The sequence below is a fragment of the Homo sapiens genome, chromosome 2, assembly GCF_000001405.40.
Source record: "Homo sapiens chromosome 2, GRCh38.p14 Primary Assembly".
Taxonomy (NCBI): domain Eukaryota; kingdom Metazoa; phylum Chordata; class Mammalia; order Primates; family Hominidae; genus Homo; species Homo sapiens.
The window spans coordinates 33327981-33348959 of NC_000002.12; the positions used below are offsets into that span (position 1 = coordinate 33327981).

Consider the following 20979-nt stretch of genomic DNA (forward strand, 5'->3'; position numbering starts at 1 on the left):
AAAAATTAGCCAGGCATGATGGCACACGCCTGTAATCTCAGCTACTTGGGAGGCTGAGGCAGGAGAATTGCTTGAAACCGGAAGGTGAAGGTTGCAGTGAGCCGAGATCACGCCACTGCACTCTAGCTTGGACAACAAGAGTGAGACTCTGTCTCAATAAATAAATAAATAAATAAATAAATAAATAAAATAAAAATAAAATGCATGTAGAAAAGTGCCTAAATCATAAGGCCACCACTTGACAAGCATTTATAGTGAGCATACCTGGTAACCAGCCCCCTGAACCTCCCTCAAACTTCCTCGTGATTATTCCCCACCCTCATATCCAATACTCATACATAGCACTTACCACTATCCTGACTTCATTATTGTAGATTCGTTCTGCCTGGTGTATTAGTCTGTTCTCTGCTAGAACACTGCTAGGAAGAAATACCCAAGACTGAGTAATTTATAAAGGAAAGAGGTTTAATTAATTCACAGTTCATTGCTGGGGAGGCCTCAGGAAACTTACAGTCATGGTGGAAGGCAAAGGAAGAGCAGGTACCTTCTTCACAGGGCGGCAGGATGGAGTGAGCGCAAGCAGGGAAAATGCCAGACACTTAAAAAATCATCAGGTCTCATGAGACTTACTCACTATCATGAGAACAGCATTGGAGAAACCGCTCCCATGATCCACTTGCCTCCACCTAGTTCTGCCCTTGACACATGGGGATTATGGGGATTACAATTCAAGGTAAGATTTTGGGTGGGGACACAGCCAAACCATATCACCTGCTTTTGAACATTAGCTACATGTAATCATAATATGTACTCCTTTGTGTCTGGCTTCTTTTATTCAACATTGCATTTGTAAGCTTCGTCTGTCTTGTCATGTGTAGTAGTCCATTTATTTTCATTGCTATATAGTATTTCATTGTATACTACATTATGTATCCATTCTACTGTTGATGGTCATTTGGCATGCTTCCTATGTGAGGCTGTTGTGAATAAACTTCCTGTGAATATTCTTGAACATGACTTTTCATGGGCATAATCACTAATTTCTGTTGGATATCACTAAGAAGTATAATTTCTGGGTCATAAAATGTATGTATGTTTCACTCACATATATATAGCCAGTTTTTCAGAGTACCAGTTTACACTGCTACCAGCAAAGGGTTAAGAGTCTCAGATCCACATTATCATCAATAATTGGTATTGTCATTCCTCTTAAGGTTTAGCCATACTGAGTAAAGGTATCTCATTATGGTCTCAATTTGTGTTTCCCTTGTGAAGATATATCTTTAACAACTTATCATACCTTTATTGGCCCTTTGGATATTGTTTCTGTTATCTAATTCTGCATAAGAAACTTCTTCCAAATGAAGTGCTCAAAACAACTATTTTAATGGCAACTTCAGGTGAACTCAAGTTGTTAATTTTAATGAAGTCCAGTGTTTTAATTGTTTTATTTCAGATCAGTATTTTTTATGTCCAGAATCTTTGCAAACCCTAAAGTCATTAAGGTACTGTTATGTTGTCTTCTGATAGCTTTATTGTTTCACATTTTAAATTTGGATTTGTAAGGCCCCTGAAGTTTTTTTGCATATGGTGAGAAATAGGGGTCAAGATTTCTTCATTTCCTAAATGGACATCAAATTAGGTCATCACTGTTTATTGAAAAGAGTGCCTTTTTCCCACTAATATGAATTTTTTTTATTAACCATAGAGTCAGATATATATGAATATATTTCTGCATTATTCATATTATTTAATAGGTTTATCTGTCTTTGTACCATTTGTACATTGTCCTAGTTACAGTAGCTTTATAATAAATTTTAATGTTTTCTGCTGTCAGTTCTAACTTCTTCAATTCTGTTCTTGAGATTGTCACAGCTATTCTTGGCCCTTTGCATTTCTATATAAATTTTATAATCAGGTGATCAATTTTTACAAAACTCTGCTGGGATTTTGATTGGAATTGAGTTGAATCAATAGATCAATTTGGGGAGGTTTGGCATTTTACAGTATTTAGTCATCTAATCTGTGAATACAACACACCCCTTTATTAGGGTTTCCTTCATTTGTCTTAGTGTTTTGTTGGAGATTTTTGTATAAAGTCTTTCACAGCTTATTTAAGACTTATTCCTAGGTCTTCAAGATTTGCATGTGGTTGTGAATGGTATTAAAATTTTTTTACCCTTATAATTGTTTGTTACCAGTATATAGAGCTAAATTTGATTTTTGTACATTGAACTTGTATCCATGACCTTGCTAAATCTGCTTGTTAATTCTAGCAGTTTATATGCAGATTTCTTTGCATCTCCCACATATACAATTATGTTGTATAAGTAATGCTAGTTTTATTCCTTCTCTTCTGGTAAGCATACTTTTATTTCCTTTTCATGTCTTACTGTACTGTCTAGGACCTCTACTGCAATGTTGACTAGAAGTGGTGACAGCTTGCTTGTCTCTTTCCTGATATCAGCAGCAAAGACATTTAATATGATGCTTGCCATAGGTTTTTTTTTTCTTAATAGATATTCTTTATCAGATAAAGAAGTTCCCTTATATATCTAGTTTGCTAATGTTCTTTATCATGCTTGGTTTTGAATTTTAACAGATGGTTTTTCTGCATCTGTTGAAATAATTACATTATTTTCTTCTTTATTCTGTTAATGTGGTGAATTACATTGACTGGATTTTAAAACAAGATAAAAATTTGTTTTCCTTATAGCAGTCTAAGCTTCAGTAATCTAGGGCTGATAATACAGGTCTATAATACAGGGACCCAGACAATATCTTTTTTTTTTTGCTTTGTTCTTCCGGACTCAGGTTTTCTCTATCATGGTCTCAAAAAAAAAAAAAAAAATCCTTGAAGAATTCACCGGTAAAGTCATTTGTGCCTGGAATGTTTGTTTTTGTTTCCTTTTGTTTTTGTGCCTATGCATTATAAACATTTTTAAATTGCAGTTAAGATTTCATTAATAGATAAAATAATATTCAGGCTTTTGACTTTTCATGTCAGTTTCAGTAAGTTTTGTTTTCCAAGGAATTTATCCATTTGGGTAAAATTTCGTTTTTATTTGCACAAAATTATTTATAATATCCTCTTCTCTGTATATATGTAGTGATCTTTTTTAAAATTTCAGTAATTTGTGCTTATGTTTCGCTCTTGATCAGTTTTCCTAGGGTTATTAGTCATTTCAAAGAAACAACTTATGTGGATTTGTTTCCTTTGTTTTCTATTTTATTAATTTTTGCTTTTATATTTATTATTTTTTCTATATTTTTTATATTTACACTTTGGGGTTTAAATTGTCTTTATTTCTAACTACTTGAAGTAGATCTTTAAATCATTAGATTATCAATCTTCTAATATTTGTATTTATAGGTATATATTTCTTTCTAAGAATGGCTTTATCTGCTATCCATAAGTTTTGATATGTTGTATTTTGTTATTTACATAAAATATTTCTAAAGTTCATTGTCATTTTTTTCCTTTGACCAATGAATTATTTAGAAGTATTTCACTTAATATCCAGATGTTTGGGTATTTTCTGGTTAACTTTTTGTTACTGGTTTCTACCTTAAAACCACTATGGCCAGAGAATATACTCTAAATGACTTCAATCCTTGAAATTTGTTATGGCACAGAATATTATCAATTTTAGTAAATAGTCCTTGTCTGCTTGAAAACAATTTATATTATGCGGCTGGACCTATATGTCAATTAGGGCCAGTTTGTAAGTTGTGTTGTTAAAATCATCTATATCCCTACCGATTTTTTGTCTGCTTACTATATAAATGACTGAGGAGTATGTAAGAAAACTACATGTATGTAAGAAAACTCGGCTAGATTAAAAAGCATTTTAAAGGGTTTTATGTGTATTTTTTTGTTTTGAGAGTTTTGGGTTTTATTTGCTTGTTTGTAATTGCAATTGTTGAGAATTGCAGTGACCTCCTAACTTAAATATGTGTATACTATTAATTAATAATTATCAGTAGCATTTTATCTTACATAATATAATTTCAAGCAAAACACTTCATCTTAAAACAAGATTTTATTTTCATTCAGAAAAAATAAAACGTTGCAAGTTTTCAATATTTTAAAAATATTTATGAATAGGTATTTTATTTTTGTTTGTACAGTTGTATTTCACTCAAATGTTTATTCCTGTTAGGGTGGAATATATATTTATACACAAGCAAAATAATTAAAATACTTATTTAAGTATCCTCAAATAGTAGATTGCAAGTATGTGATTTTTCTGATTTTAAGAGTAACATAAGCCAGGTGTGGTGGTGGGTACCTGTAGTTACAGCTACTTGGGAGGCTGAGGTGGGAGGATCATTTGAGCTTAGGAGTTTGAGGCCAGGCCAGCCTGGTTGATGTAGTGAGACACCATCTCCAAAAAAAAAAAAAAAAAAAAAAAAAAGAGAGAGAGAGACAGAGACACTCTCATTATAGAAAATTTAGAAAATTCTGAGAAATATAAAGAAAAAAATCATTTATCAACCAGTGTTAATTAATGTTAATATTTGACATATTTCTTAATAGTTTTTAGCATTTAAAAATGAAATTATATACTTTATTTATTTAATTTTTTTTTTTTATATGGAGTCTTGCTCTGTCGCCCAGGCTGGAGTGCAGTGGTGCTATCTGGGCTCACTGCAAGCTCCACCTCCCGGGTTCACGCCATTCTCCTGCCTCAGCCTCCCAAGTAGCTGGGACTACAGGCGCCCACCACCATGCCCAGCTAACGTTTTTTGTATAGGATTAATGAGAGGGAGGAGGAGGGAAGACTGTTTTGACTGAAGGATCTCTCTAAAGAAACAGCATTTGAGCTGAGCTCAGGGCAAAGCCTCTGAGACAGAGAACTTGGTGCACTCAAGGGAGTGGAAAAGGCCATGCCTGGTTCTGAGAGAGGAGGTGTAGTCTACAGCAATCCCACCGTAAATACACCTCTCATCTGATCTTGAAAGCTGAGCAGGGTCGGGCCTCATTAGTACTTGGATGGGAGAGAGAGGCTCAGCAAGGGTAGAGCTAGGGAGGCAGGTACAGAATTTGCAACTTCCCACAGGAAATGTAAAGAGTTTGGGTGTTATTCTAAGTGTAACTGAAATAGACTGATAGATTCGGAGCAGGACAATGATATACTATATTTCATCTTTCTAAAAAGATGCACATTTTTTCACCTTTAATACTGGGGCACTTCCTACAGTTGAAGTGATTTTTAAAAAGCAGTGCAAAATAGGTTAATTTGTAGAGTTTTTTTTTTTCTTTCTTAGTGGTTCAGAAAATAATTTTGTTCTTTTTAATGAGTGGAGTCTTCTATTTGATTTAATTCAGTAATTTATATTTTTTAAGTACAGTGTTTCTGTTTTCCAGGTTGCTTTTTGGCAATGGGGTTAGAGGAGCAGGAGAAAACTCAGGATATCTTCTAGGATATTGTTATAATAGCTCAGGCCACACATATTGGTAGCTCAGGCTAGAGCAGTGGCAACATGATGGAGAGAAATGAATGACTCCAAAAATGCTCTGGAGATAGAGCCTAGTGCTAGATTAGAACATAGAGTTGAACCCGATGTAGGACATGGAGGAGAACTGTTGAAGAGGGGTCATAGGTCCTGGCTTTAGCAAGTTGGTATTTGGTGACACTATTTGCTGACATGGTAAAAAAACGAAGCAATTTTTTTGTAAAGATCAAGAGTGTGAGTTGGTTATATTAAATTAGAGTTGCCTGTGAAATATCCATGTGGGTGTGTCCCATAGGGAATTGGATCAAGTTAATTCTAATGTTCAGAAGAGAAGTCTAGTCTGGAGATAAAAACTGGAAGTCATCAGATCTAGACCGCATGTGAAGCCATCAGAATGGATGAGACCACCAAGAGAGATCATAGAATGAGAAAAAAAGAAGGTCTAGGACTAAGCTCTGAGAAATGCCAACATATAGGGGTCAAGTAAAAGAGACCCTGTAGGAGGAGTCCAGGGAGTAAGAGGAAACAGAGGATATGGTACTGTAGAATCCAAGGGAAAAGAGTTCTTCAAGGAGAGAGTGGTCAACCGCATTGAATACAACTGAGAGCTCTACTAAGAGGACAAGAAGAATCCTTTGGGTTTTACAAAATGGTGACCTTATCAGGTGCTGTTTCAGTGGAATCTTGAATTCAGGAGCCACTCAAGAATGAATGAGAACTGATGGAGTAAACACAGCATGCGTAGATAAGTCAAGAACCTTGGCTGTTAAAAAGGAGTAAGAAATATGGAATGATCCAATAGAGAGGGAAAGAAGGTGATGCAGGGGCAGAGGCCACATGGACAAGCGCAGACAGCACGTGGCAAAGGCCTCTATGCCATTACCCATGGAAGAAAACTGAAGAGGTTTAAGCAGAGAACTATTTGATTGGACTGTTTCATTAGGTAAATTATTCTGTCATTGTGGGAGATGAATTTGGGGTCTTTAATGAGTGTCTGAAAGCACAAAACTCAGTTTGGAAGCCATTGCAGGAATTCGAGTGAAAGATAATGTGTCCTTGAATAAGGCTGGAGAGGAAAGGAGAGACTGGAGATACAACCAAAAGATAAAATCAGAAGAATGTGGTGACTGGATGTGGAGCAGTAATCAAGGATGACTCCCACATTTTTGGGTAACTAGGATGATATATGTGATTTTTAGGATGGTTTCCAACAGGATATCTTTAACTGTAGATGGTGAATACCTGTTGTCTACATAGTGGTTGACAAAAATGGAGCAGTGTTGTTTTAGTTTCTCTGGAATATAGGATTGAGGCTTGTCTGGGTAATTTTTACAGAATAATTTAAGTAGGCTGGGCATGGTGGCTCATATCTGTAATCCCAGCACTGGTTGGCCGAGGTGGGAGGATCACTTGAGCCGAGGAGTTTGAGATCAGCCTGGGCAACATAATGAGACCTCATCTCTACTAAAAATTAAAAAAAAAAAAAAAAAATGCCAGGCATGGCAGCATACACCTGTGGTCCCAGCTATTTGAGAGGCTGAGGTAGGAGGATTGCTTGAGCCTAGGAAGTTGAGGCTGCAGTGAGCTGTGGCTCACTGTGAGAGCCATGGCACTCTCTCTCACAGTGAGAGCATGGCACTGCTCTCTAGTGTGGGCAACAGAGTGAGACCCTGTCTCTAAAATAAATAAGTAAGTAAGTAAATTTTTTGAAAGTAGTACATCTCCATGCTGGGGAAAAAAAAAAAAAAAAGATGTCTCATTGGCCAGCCTTCTTTTCTAGAAGGTAATTATGGGAAAGTTGAATTTCAAATAATTTGTTACCTATGTCATTTCTTATTGCTTATCTTAGGCTGCTAGCTTTCAAAACAGACTTGTGACCATCAAGGTCCCCGTGTTTTTTTCCTGCCCTTCTCTGTCAAGGGATAGCATGGTAGTCAGACTCGGCCCAGGGATGTCGTCTGCTGTTTCTGGCCTATTCCCATCTCCTAGAACAAAGTTATTTTCCATAACACATATGGGCTATATTCCCCAGCCTTGTCGATGTTGCCAGACCTCAGTGGACCTTTTTTAAAAGGATCTTTCCATATCCTATTGTATTGCCTGGACCATCTCCCAATCCAGTTTTTAATTTCCTATTGGCTAAATTTTATTTTCTTTCTTTAGGCCTTGTGCTCATCTTCCGCTTAATGCTGGCTTCCCTCCTGTGCTGTGAGAGAGACCTTAATCGCTTGTGGGCCAGCAGCCATGCCATTTTAAAATTCTTTTGGGCAGCTATTCAGCTGGTTTAACATCTTTCACTCCCACTTGTTGGCTGAGATTTACTCTCTCCTAGCCGGCTTCCATTCCTTTCAGAAAGGAGTGTGAGGGCTGCATTTCCATTGTAAGCCCCTTTTCTTTGGATCTGTTTTCCTAAGATTCTGGCACCAAATACTTAACCAATCTCAGTTGGTTAAGAAGTTCTGAGCTAAAATAGTGGGCCATTTTCTTCTTATGAAGAGTTCCAGGAGCACCGATGCTAGACATGGTCCTGTCTAAGTCCTGGGACCTCCTGAGACTTGCAACCATGGGTGCCTGATGTGCTTTCTTCCAAGGGTCTCCTACAAAAATATCCTCTTCATGGCCCACAGTAGCTCTAGTGTCTAGATTTCAAGTATGATGATATTTCTTGTATTAAAGGACAGAGATGCCTAAGTCTTATTTAAGGACAAGAAGACTTGATAAAACTGGAAGCCAGTAGGTGATGAGTCAAAGAGTAACAGATGGTGTGTTCTGACCTCCATCTTCATAGTGGGCAAACTCCAGTGTGCTTTTTGGGCTCACAGTTTGGTTAGTTCTCTTCATCATCTAGGACTAACCTTTTTTAACTATCATCATGGTGACAGGTAAGAGAATGTGATGGCTAGAACCACAGACAGATTCAGAGGATTCTTCTGTGACCAGGCCCTGTTCCTCTGCCAGCTCTCCCGCTAACTGACTATGTAACCTTGAGGCAAGTCACTTCCCCTTTCTAGCCCTCAGTTTTCCGGTTATTAAAATGAAGAGATTGAACTGGATAATCTTCAGGTTTCCGTTAAGTCAAAATGGACCATATGATTCATCTAAAAATGTTCTAAGACAGGAAGCCCGTTTCTTCACAACTCTCAGTAGCTTTGGAGATTTTCCTATGAATTATCCATTACCAAAAAATGACACCCCCATTCCCACTATCCACTTCTCTGGAGCGTCCTGGCAGCAGACGGAAAGCTCATTAGTGAGCTGCTTCCCCTAATAGATGAGTACGTTTTGCTCAGAATAAGGAAGAAGGAAGTCAACAAAATAAGAGAAGGAGATGTTAAGAAACTAAGAAGAAGCACTTTCCTAAAAATGTAAAACCAAAAACTGAAGAATATATCTGAAAAAAGAGCACCAAATCATTTTACTAATGAAATAGACACAAATACCCCTTTCTTTCCAATATACATCATTTTCAGAATATGTACAGATACACATAGACTTTTCTGCATGTAATACAAGACACCTAATGGAACCATTGAGATTTGTTGTGAATTTTTGTGTTGAGTTCTTAAAATTAAAACGATTTTAATTTTTTGGTTCTTAAACAAGATTTACATGACCCCAACCTCTTTTAGAAAACCCTGCCTTCTTTCCATACTTGTTATTTATTTCATAGTTCACTTTACATAAATGAGAAGGTGACACAGGTGTCTGGCCTTACACCTTTATTTGAGAATTCGGGAGTGCATGGGTTCGAGTTCTACTCTAGTATGTAGACTCCCTGAATGCAGTCAGTAGGTTTTTAAAAACTTTTGGTTCATTGAGAAAATGTCTTAAGTAAAAAGCATCTGGGCAAGGAAAATGGATCTGCCAAGTAGATCAATAAAGACCCTCAAAAGCGTGGATCTATTAGTCATTGACAACATTGCTACTTTTTAAATGAGCCACTGGTAGTTCCCGTCACCCAGAACTATGTTCTATTTTTCTTTCTGACATTTATGTAATTTTTTATTGGGAAATTCACATCAGGGATCGATTCTCCTTGGTTTGCATAATTCTTTCTTGACTTTATTTCCATTGAAATATCAATATTTATATCTGCCTTCTTCAGTAAAGTGTAAATAGCAACACTTGCGTGATGAATCAGCAACTTTTATAATACCACACCTGATTTTTCTGGATTGACAATTGACAGTTGATCACTAGACAAATCACGCCTGTAATCACTAACCCATTGGATAGTATTACCAATGATATCATGCATGGCCCTTACAGATCACTAAGCAAAATTGCTTGGTAGTTTTAACAGAATCACCCTTCATTAAGTGAAAACATATGATATTTGGATGATTCAAAATATAGTTTCATCTTCCAAATTCAACTTTAGCAAAAAAGGATGACTTTCACTTGTTCGTTTAGTCTTGCTGGGACTTCTACTCTAATGTAATAAATTTTCTTAACATTTAGCTTTATTTCTCTAGAATTACTCGTATTTGTAGCAGTTCTTTTCATTGTATGTATATACGGGACTAACAATGGAAAAATATCTCAGAGAGCTCACATCATCAAAGAAAATTCTAATGAAATAATGTTTTTTCTTGTAGAGGTCATTAAAGTGAAACAAATGTCCTCTTATTAAGCTATTACCTCACCTCATTGTTGAAAACATGAAACTGCTGAGAATTACATTATATCATTTTTATAAAATATTAGTTGCTGAAGAGCTAGTTTCCAGCAGGCATTCCACGTTATTTTTTCCTATTCATTCAAATCCAAAATATTGCTCATCTAAACTTTCTCGGTTAATCACTGTTACAGTAAGTCTGAGACTGCAAGACGCCCAGTAATTCATAACCAGCTTGGGGCTTGTTCACCTTCAGGTCAATTATTTGGTTCCTGTGCACAGTAACGAGAAATCATCATCTGCTATAATTGCATAGAATTAATAAAAAGGAAAGCAAGGATGTTCCTTCAGGAATCTGGACTGAAAAGCCACCAGGTTTCTAGTACATACCTTCTCTTTCTCCTCCTTAGCTGTCCTTCCACTCATTTTAGTAGGGAAATAAGTTGCTGATGAGGTTAAGTTAAAGGTTCCTCACCCTGAGAAGGAGCCCTCGATAAGCACAGCAGTGGCACAAAATGCTCTGGGACTGGAGAGGAGAGGCCCTGAGATCTGCTTGTGGAGTAGTTAAAGGAGGTGCTGCAGAGGAGGTGTCTCTTGGGCTGACTCCTGAAGGGCCAAGAGGCATTTCTAAGTAAGTCCAGGGGAAAGGGGTGGCATGGAGATTCCAGAGACGGAAGGAGTGGCATGGAGATTCCAGAGACGGAAGGAGTATGCACCAAGTCCATGAAAAATTAAAGACCGTAGGTTTTCAAAGACCTCTAGTATGCTAATTGAGCCAGAGTGCAAATTGGGAAGGAGGTTGTCTGGAAACTGTGGCCAGACATATAGGCAGGAGGCAGATGAGGAAGGGTGCTCCATGCCCTACTAAGGAGTGTGGTTACCCTTTAGCCAAGAGGAGATTCTGAACACTCTGAGCAAGGGAATGGTACTGGTGAGTTTGCATTTTGCAGAGAGCACATTGGCAGTTTTAGGTGGAGAATGGATAGAGGGAGGGAGGCAAGACTGGAGATGGGAAGATGACCCACCAAGAGTATGAGTATCAGGAAAGATAGTAAAGACGGCATGACAGGGAAGGACAGAGAATAGGAGAAAGTGAAGGGTGATATTAAGATTTCTGGCTTGGGTGACAGATTGGATTTGCTGATGAAGGAAATAGGAGAAATGGAGTTGAGATGAGGAGGGGAGTGATAATAAATTCGTTTATTATGAATATATCCAATAGGTATTAGATAAGTGGTTCTAAAGGACAGAGGTAAATTTTTGAGAGAGACTGGGAAATCATCAGTATGTAAATGGTAATTGAAGTATTTCCGAGTTTCTTTCCAGCCCTTAAATCCTGTGGTTCAATGAATAACATAAATAATCTCTTTGATGTACGCCCATCTCAGAAAGCCTACCTTTAGCAGTGGCCTGTGTTAAGTGATTTGGTGACGCGATGCAGTTCCTCCTCAAGTTGTGATCAGTAAATAGTGATCTCAGCCTCATGCTGACATTGAAAATCAATCAGAACAGATTTATTGAGTGTCTTTTTTGTGTTTACTGTTGTAAGGGAGATTCATTTTTTAGACTGGAAATAATTTCATTGATTTGTCCTTTTTTTTTTTGAGACGGAGTTTCGCTCTTGTTGCCCAGTCTGGAGTGCAATGGTGTGATCTCGGCCCACTGCAACCTCTGTCTCCCAGGTTCAAGCAATTCTCCTGCCTCAGCCTCCCAAGTAACTGGGATTACAGTCATGCACCACCACACCCGGCTAATTTTGTATTTTTAGTAGAGACGGGGTTTCTCCAAGTTGGTCAGGCTGGTCTTGAACTCCCGACCTCAGGTGATCTGCCTGTCTCGGCCTCCCAAAGTGCTGGGATTACAGGCATGAGCCACCGCGCCGGGCTTCATTGATTTTTTAATTCAAGTCACCAAGGTCAGGAAATGGAGTTTAGTAGGAAGACAGTGAATACAGTTTTAGGCTTGATAAGTTTAAGTTCATGGCAGAAGATCCAATGGAAATGATTAAGAAATGTGCTTGCACCCCATCTCTACTAAAAATACAAAAAAATTAGCCAGGCGTGGTGGCGAGCGCCTGTAGTCCCAGCTACTCAGGAGACTGAGGCAGGAGAATGACGTGAACCCAATAGGTGGAGTTTGCAGTGAGCAGAGATCGCGCCCCTGCACTCCAGCCTGGGCGACAGAGCGAGACTCTGTCTCAAAAAAAAAAAAAAAAAAAAAAAGTGCTCCGTAGAAGAATCTTGGCTGGAGAGGAGGATGGGGGATTTATCCCAAGGAGCATGGTCACTGAAACTGGGAGAGTGTGGGAAGGGTGGAGGAGAGGAGTGCTGAGCACACAGCAGATTTCAGGCAGGGCGGGAGCCTTGGCAGACACCCACTTTCAGGCTGCCAAAGGGCAAGGACAAGCTCAAGGCAGAACAAGAAGAATATTCCGTCACTGAACGTGGGAAGAGAGTGTTCAAGGAGTGGGCATTCAGCCAGACTCGGAGGTCAGGGGTGACTGACCGGAAGATGATCATGAGATTTAGTGATGAGCTGGTCACTGGTGCTTTTTCTCATAGGAGTCTCAGTGGCATAAAGAGTTAGGAAGTAAGATTCTAGGTCATTGAGGAGGAGGAGGAGGAGGAAGAGGAATAGTAGTAATAATAATAAAGTTGACATGTACTATATTGGATGTCTCCCTACGATACATGCCAGGCAGTCTTCAAAGCACTTTGTACGTGTTATTTTGTTTAATGCTCACAGTAATTGTAGGAACTTACCAATGTTATTAATATTATTCATATTGATACTATTATTTCCATTTACAGATAGACTGTAATAGGAAATAAAGACAATGAGTATAGACAATCCTTTGTGACATTTTGCAGTGATACAAAAAGTTTAATTCCCCCCAAACTAAATTCTGTCAAGTGAAATTGAACTTGTCATTTTCTTTAGCATTTGTTGTCTGATTTCATTATTTGAACATAAAAGTACAATCTTCACATATATTTGGATGCTGTTACATTTTCTTAATTGTTTCTCCAAATCTTACATTTTGGCGTGACTGTTAAGTCCAGGGCAGAGAGAGCAGAGTACCAGGCGTGGCTGGTGTGAGATGTGGCAGTGCCCAAGGAGAAGAAAAGCACAATGGGCGATGATATGATCAGGTGAAAACTATTTTCAAGCAATTTTAACATTTTTGAAGGCAGTGAGGGTAGGATCCAGGGGAGGAATAACTGAAGATGTTGGAGAAGGATGAGCAGGTGGGACCTTGAGGCAGAGACTGGTCAGGGCGGGAGAAGGAGCCCCACCCAGAAAGGAGAAGGGATGTAGGTTTTTTGTTTGTTTGTTTTGAGTTGAGAAAATAAGTTTAAAAGAGAAAATGCGGCCAGGTGCGGTGGCTCAAGCCTGTAATCCCAGCACTTTGGAAGGCCGAGGCGGGCAGATCACGAGGTCAGGAGATTGAGACCATCCTGGCTAACATGGTGAAACACCGTCTCTACTAAAAATACAAAAAATTAGCCAGGCGTGGTGGCGAGTGCCTGTAGTCCCAGCTACTCAGGAGGCTGAGGCAGGAGAATGGCTTGAACCTGGGAGGTGGAGCTTGCAGTGAGCCGAGATTGCGCCACTGCACTCCAGCCTGGGCGACAGAGTGAGACTCCGTCTCACTCAAAAAAAAAAAAAAAATATATATATATATATGTATATTTATATATAAAAATAATAAAAGAGAAAATGCTCAATTTTATTAATAGTAACTCTCCCCAAACTAAACTCTGTCAAGTGAACTTGAACTTGTCATTTTCTTTAACAGTTGTTACCTGATTTCATTATTTGAACATAAAAGTGCAATCTTCTTCACATATATTTGGATGCTGTCATTAACATTTTCTTAATTGTTTCTCCAAAAACTTGCATGTGGCATGACTGTTAAATCCAGGGGCAGAGAGAGCAGAGTACCAGGTGATGGGTGGTATAGATGTGGCAGTGCCCAAGGAGAACGGGAAGGAAAGAACGGAGAAGGAAATTAGTAACCGTAAGAATAAAGAAGAATTCTATCTAAAAGTCTGTTGTAACTTTGCAATTGAGGCATCACTTTTATAAGAACATTTTTATTAATGAGAAAAAAAGGCAGAAGATCACTCTCATCACGTTTATGGAGAACAAAATGAATTGGCAAGTCAGCCAATCAGCTGGAGCAGCCTGGACGGTTAGGACCTTGAATGGCTGTAAATTGGTGGCATCAAATCTTTTCTTTTGGCACTGGGACTGACTGGCTACCCTGCTGACTTCATCAGACTCTCTCTTGACTTCCTGAGGATGTTGTGTAGTCTGGATCAAGGTTATCCACAAGGTTAAGTAAACTATTGCTCATTTCCACCTGTAACTATCAGATGCAAATACTATTAGCATTTACTGCAACTAAAACAAGTGACAATATTTTCACATGTTTTCTCTGTAGGAATATAAGGTCCCTTGGAAATAAAGAGTCGAGAACGTTTAGGTAATACTGGGCGTGGCACTTGCAGCCATCATTTCAGTCTAAAAACATTTCCTAAGGAAAAGTACTAAATGTTTTTTTCATAGAACCCAACATTTTGGCTGTTAAACCATTTTCATCAAAACATTTTATTTATATGTAAAATATTTTAAAAGCTGTTTTCTGTGTAAACATGTTCATCTCATCATCACACACTAATCAGGATGTGTTGAGTGCCTCTGTTTATCCATTAATATCTGGTGTTTGTCAGCCTGTGTTTGTTTTGTGTCTGATGTTCCATGTCTTTTTTGCAGATATTGATGAATGTGTAAACAACACTGTTTGTGACAGTCACGGGTTTTGTGACAATACAGCTGGCTCCTTCCGCTGCCTCTGTTATCAGGGCTTTCAAGCCCCACAGGATGGGCAAGGGTGTGTGGGTGAGTTTTTAGATTTTTTCCCAACGTGTTTCACATGTCCCTAGGGAAAAGAAATCACAGTGAACAACAGGAGCTTTTAAGCAGGTAATTTGGGTAGAGCTTTATCGTAATTTGATTTTGTCATACAATTTGAGGATGTGCAAAAATATCCTATGTTGGCTGGGTGCATGGCTCACGGTTGTAACCCCAGCACTTTGGGAGGCCAAGGTTGGAGAATTGCTTGAGACCAGGAGTTTGAGACCAGCCTGGGTAGCATGGTGAGATCTTTTCTCTATGAATAAAAATTTTAAAAAAAAAATTAGCCAGGCTTGATGGTGGATGCCTGTAGTCCCAACTACTTGGGAGGCCGAGGTGGGAGGATCTCATGTGCCCAGGAGTTTGAGGCTGCAATAAGCCGTGATCATGCCACTGCACGGCAGCTTGGGCAACAGAGAAAGACCCTGTCTCAAAAAAAAAAAAAAAAAATCCTATGGCTTCTGAAATTGTTAGGGACATTAAGAAATATAAAAGTATGACTTTACATTTAAATGAATTTTAACAAGAACATCTGTTTAAACTCTAACTGAGTATGCAGAACTCTAGACTCCCTTCAGCACAGGAAATAGAGTCTGGTGTGTGGTATAGATTGTCTGTCTTTGAAATGCATCCCCTTAGACAGTGCGTTTAAGGCAAAGTATTGCCAGGAGCTTCAGTGTCCAGGAATGATACCTGTAAAAGGATGCTTTGAATTGTGCAACTGTATTTCCTCAGTCTGTTCCGGGATTGACAGGGCTGGAAGGAATCTTGAATATCATCATATGTCCTGGAATATGGTCCAACAAATGCTCACACAGAAAATAATTTGTATTTCATTGTCTGACCAAGATGTGATTTCTTCACGTCAAACTCATTATGAAACATATTTGCAATTAGAGCAATTAAATGGGAAAGAGAAGAAAGGTTATCAAATTCAAGACTTTATAGATAGCAAGACTTTTCTTTTTCTTTATTCTTAGAGAAAAATAGCCATGTTCACTACATGGCAGGTGGAACTTGAGGAGTCTATTGCCTATTTGGTTTGAAAATTTGCAATTAAGACATTAGTTCATTTGCCATCCATATTAAACTTGGAAAACAAGATTTTTAAGGTTTAATGATAATGTCACTTAATAACTGCTTTTGTGGAATTATGAAATTCAGTTAATTCTCAACCAAAAATTATTTACAAAGCAATGGTGTGGTTTCATGCATAAGCAGTAGCTAGTCAAAAACATAGATAATTATTCAAGAATTATTCACAACAAGACATAGTTATTTAATAATATAGCTAAGACTATCCTAATCTTAGTTCAAACTCCTGCTTTGGCCACCTTTCCACCAAAATACAGTTGTTTGACGTTTGGATAATATTTTCACCAGTTGGGTCTTGTGATGTGGCCCCTACTTTTCATCTTAACTTTACCACTTCCTTCTTCACCTGTTGTTTCCAGCAACGTCAGACTGGTTGTGGTTGCCCATGTCACTGTGCAATTATTTGACTGTTGTTCACTCCTTCTGCTGGGAATATCCTCCTGACCTCTCCTTCCCTGAGCCCTGGATTTTTCTCACTCGTTCTTGAAGACTGAGGTTCAGTGTCATCTTCCAGACACCATCCCTGCTCCATTCCTCACTCTCAAGCTGAGCTGTGACCTCTGCTTCCAGAGCACCTTCAGCAAATTCTATTATAGCACTTACAACCTTTGGGGGAATAATTTAATAATGGGTATACCACCTGCAGACCGCTTCTGCAAGGCTATGACCTCTATATGATTGAAAACTTTCTCACTTCTCCCTGGGCAGGGCACGATGCTTGGCTTATTATAGGTGCTCAGTAAATTTTGTTTAACTACCAACTGTTTAAATATCAGATGTTGAACCATACCTGGAAACCATGTCAGCTATCTGGAGTCCACATAGCTCCAGAGCCCCTGCTTAATGTTCATTTCTAACCAGCCAGATGAGCACACCAAACCCATGCTGACATTTCAGCTTGGCACACAAAACACCACCCTTAGAGAAGGAATATTTGTTATCATTTTGGTGAACTCAACAAATGCCATTTTATTTGTGTTTGTATTTATTATTTCAAAAATATTTACTAAGCACCTATGATACGCACTTCACACTGGGTGTTCTGTAGAGCTACAGGGATGAGTGAGCACCTGCCCCATTATCACCTACTCATCCTTCAGCTATTTGCTCCAGTATCATTTCTCTAACCCACCCCCACATTTAAGGTCTGCTGTTCCATGCTTTCACTGAGCTCTGAACTTTTCACTCCTCACACTCACTGAAGCATGTACAATTATTTTGTTCATTTCCCTAACTCGTCTGTAAGCTCCATGAAGGCAGGAGTTGGGACTGCTGGCTCATCATTGTTACCCCACATATAGGCCGTACAGGCCTGCCCCACAGAAGTAAGCTAGGAAATATTTCTTGATTGAATTATTGCAGTCTGATGGGATAGAGTTTATTAGCCATGTCAATAATACATGTTGGAAAGTACAAAGTTCCACTGGACATTTACCTAAAATTGATCAATGTGAACTGGCAATTTCTTAAGTTTTTCTGGTCTCAATATGACTGTCGGTTGATTAAATATTTCAACTCTGCTTTATGTTATGGTATTTTTCACAAGTGAAACCAGTTCATTGGATTTATATCTCTTTATATATAAATGAAATGGAAAACTGAGGTAATTATCCAAATAAGTCAAGATGTATAAGCTTTTTGTCCAATTAACTGGGTATACCAGGTGAAAGGACGATTTTTTTTTTTCTGGAATGATTTAGATAATTGCTCAAATTTTTAACTTTGATTAAGCCATCTCAAAGTATGCTCATGAAAGCTGATGTTTATACACGTTTAATGCATAAGACATGTGAGCATTTCAGACTTTAAGTCAGGTGCTTTACTGAATTGGATACCCATGAATAAAATATTGCAGGAGGAAAGAGGGTAAAAAGCACTATGGGACAACATCAAACATAAAATTAGCCTTTCTTTAGGGCTGTGTACTTGCAAAATGTTGAATAAAGTGTACTTGTCACTGAGATTCCTTCACTGTATTTTAATTATGTATATTTAAGTACAGAAGAAAAACATTTAGCAAAATAGAAATTACACAGTGGAACATCAACAGAATTTGAAAAGGTGTCATGAGATCAGTGATTAGTTATTGGACCAATTTGTTTCACATGAATGATTAATGTAGCCTGATGAGTATCTATAGGAGTCTTTCCTTCATTTCTCAAAGGAATATGTAATCTGAATTCTATTGATAATTATGGATGCTTTGGCTACCAGAGAACTGTATTTTCAGATATTTAAGTATATTTTAAAAGTTTTTAAGTGAACTTAATTCTGTGGTTACTGAAGTGTCAGTGATTCTAACTTTGCTTGAATTAAGAACTGAGAGTAGGCCAGGCGTGGTGGCTCACGTCTGTAATCCCAGCACTTTGGGAGGCCGAGGCAGGCGGATCACTTGAGGTCAGGAGTTCATGACCATCCTGGCCAACATGGTGAAATCCTGTCTCTACTAAAAATACAAAAATTAGCCATGCATGGTGGTACGTGCCTATAATCCCAGCTACTCAGGAGGCTGAGTCAGGAGAATCACTTGAACCCGGGAGACAGAGGTTGCGAGTGAGCTGAGATCACGGCACTGCACTCCAGCCTGGGTGACAGAATGAGACGCCGTCTCAAAAAAAAAAAAGAACTGAGAGTAGAGTGTTGCGTCATTTAAGACTTCATTATGTTGAAAAGTCAGGAATGATAAAACTAGATGGTCAGTGGGCACATACTAGTTTTGCAGTACAATTCCAGAGTATCTTTTAAAACTAGATTGGGAATTGGCTGGGCGCAGTGGCTCGCGCCTGTAATCCCAGCACTTTTGGAGGCCGAGGTGGGCGGATCACGAGGTCAGGAGATCGAGACCATCCTGCCTAACACGGTGGAACCCCGTTGCTACTTAAAATACAAAACAAATTAGCGGGGCGTGGTGGCAGGCACCTGTGGTCCCAGCTATTCAGGAGGCTGAGGCAGGAGAATGGCGTGAACCCGGGAGGCAGAGCTTGCAGTGAGCCGAGATCGCGCCTCTGCACTCCAGCCTGGGCGACAGAGCGAGACTCCGTCTCAAAAAAAAAAAAAAAAAAAAAAAACCTAAATTCGGAATTGTCTTGAATTTTCATAGTCCTTTCGTACAGACCAAATCTGACAGCTCTACCTTAAAGAGCCCCTTCCCTAAAAGAGCAGAAGGGGTTTGACTGCTCTCTGGGGATCGCCTTCTTTTCAGCAAGACACTATTAGCCCTGGCACAGCTGGTAAAATAGAGAGCTGTCGTGAATGAGGCACACATCTCACTTGGTCTGTGCTCCCTTTTCCAGATGTGAATGAATGTGAACTGCTCAGTGGGGTGTGTGGTGAAGCCTTCTGTGAAAACGTGGAAGGGTCCTTCCTGTGCGTGTGTGCTGATGAAAACCAAGAGTACAGCCCCATGACTGGGCAGTGCCGCTCCCGGACCTCCACAGGTAAGTCCCAGTGACACTGTGCAAGGGAATGACAGGCTCCTCTCAAAGACCTGCACCCACACAGCTTTGGGATAAACGCTGGGAGTGAGATAAGAAGCAGCCAGATGTCCTGACACAGTGCTGTCTCTGGAAGCTTCCATGATCTTCTGTGCCTGCCTTGTCAGTGGAATTAAGATGTGGGTGATGACTCTTTGGGCTAGATGGCCTCTAATGTTCTATCCAAACCAGAGATGCCTCCAGTAAGGTAAAGGATCCAAAATGATGAGGACATTTGCTGGGGATTGCTTAAAACTTAGAGAGCTATCAGCTCAGGATTTAATATGGCACCATCTCATTAAGTTGCATAATCCTCCATACGTTCTTGGCCCTTAGAGAAATGTGTCTTGACACTTCTCTAAATTAAAAGCAACATATAGGCCTCTTAGGATCTACAAAGACTTCCACTTGGAATTCTTAAGGTGTTTTTCCAGAATTTGGCCTAGAGAGTAGCTATGTTTGCATTCGCTTAAAATTTGATTTAGGCTGTGTCGTCACTGTGCAAACTGAAATAGAGAGTTGGACTGTTTTCCAGATAAATTAATCAACTTCCCAATCACCCTTTTAAGTTTGTGCCATGTAGCTATAGCTTGGTTGTATTTTAGGGAAAGCAAAGGCCCAAATGGTCCTTTGAGAGCCAAGTAAAATGAAACATAGACCATTTTTTTTTCTTTCTCAGTCAGTTTTATCCATGCTTCCATAATAGCTTTCACTACTCCTCTGGAGGATACACTTGTTCTGTGTAAAATAGCTATCTTTGCAAGTAATAGGAAATGAAATATGAAAATATTTTCACCCACACATATTTCCTCAGTTATTAAATATAGAAAGGTGAAGGGTATAGAATTAAATGAACAGGCTATAATTCAAAAACCTTGTGAAAGAGAAGAGACAGGTTATTACTGGTGGGAGGATTTCTCTTCATTCAAGTGACCACCACAACAATACATATTCCATAAAGAAGAGACTTTTCATTTTAATTGGATCTACAATAGCAAAAAACAAACCAAAAAACAAAAAAATCTGGTTGGCCACTAACAGAATTGGTTAACTAAGTGTCTTTTTCTTATTTTTGTTTGGTTCCATAGGGTAGCACCTCACCTATAGTGTTATTTTGAATGAATTAATTCATATATCATAATATATAGCCATTAAATGGTCTGGGTGATGCTTAGATAGTCATGATAAAGATAAATGTATGTGATACAATGTTAAGTGAAAAAATACAGGATATTCCAATGATCACACTCTGTAGAGGAAGGGAGAGTGAGAATACATAAAAAGGTAATTGTTGGACCGAACCAATAACTAATTGAGCTTATTCATTTGTATAGCTCCTGGCAGCTTTTCCTTTTATCATGCCTCAATTTGTATAGTTGATGGTGAACTTTGATTATATGGAGTCTTAAGACT

General features: G+C 38.8%; 1 protein-coding gene and 1 pseudogene across 65 annotated transcripts in view; both read left to right on the top strand.

Annotated features, from left to right (window-relative positions):
- The window catches only part of LTBP1 (latent transforming growth factor beta binding protein 1), a 452557-nt gene that overhangs the window by 381028 nt on the left and 50550 nt on the right, over window positions 1–20979 (top strand). For 33 of the 65 annotated variants that reach the window (XM_011532853.3, XM_011532856.3, XM_011532858.3 and 30 more), the window contains 2 exons: window positions 14858–14983; window positions 19387–19530. The exons of 8 other annotated variants lie outside the window; for them this stretch is intronic. In XM_011532853.3, coding sequence (XP_011531155.1) covers window positions 14858–14983; window positions 19387–19530 — 270 coding nt within the window. The remainder of the gene's footprint in view (window positions 1–14857; window positions 14984–19386; window positions 19531–20979) is intronic. 24 more of the 65 variants (XM_011532857.3, XM_017004109.2, XM_017004110.2 and 21 more) reach the window with 2 other exon arrangements.
- RNA5SP92 (RNA, 5S ribosomal pseudogene 92) lies at window positions 4918–5027 on the top strand (annotated as a pseudogene).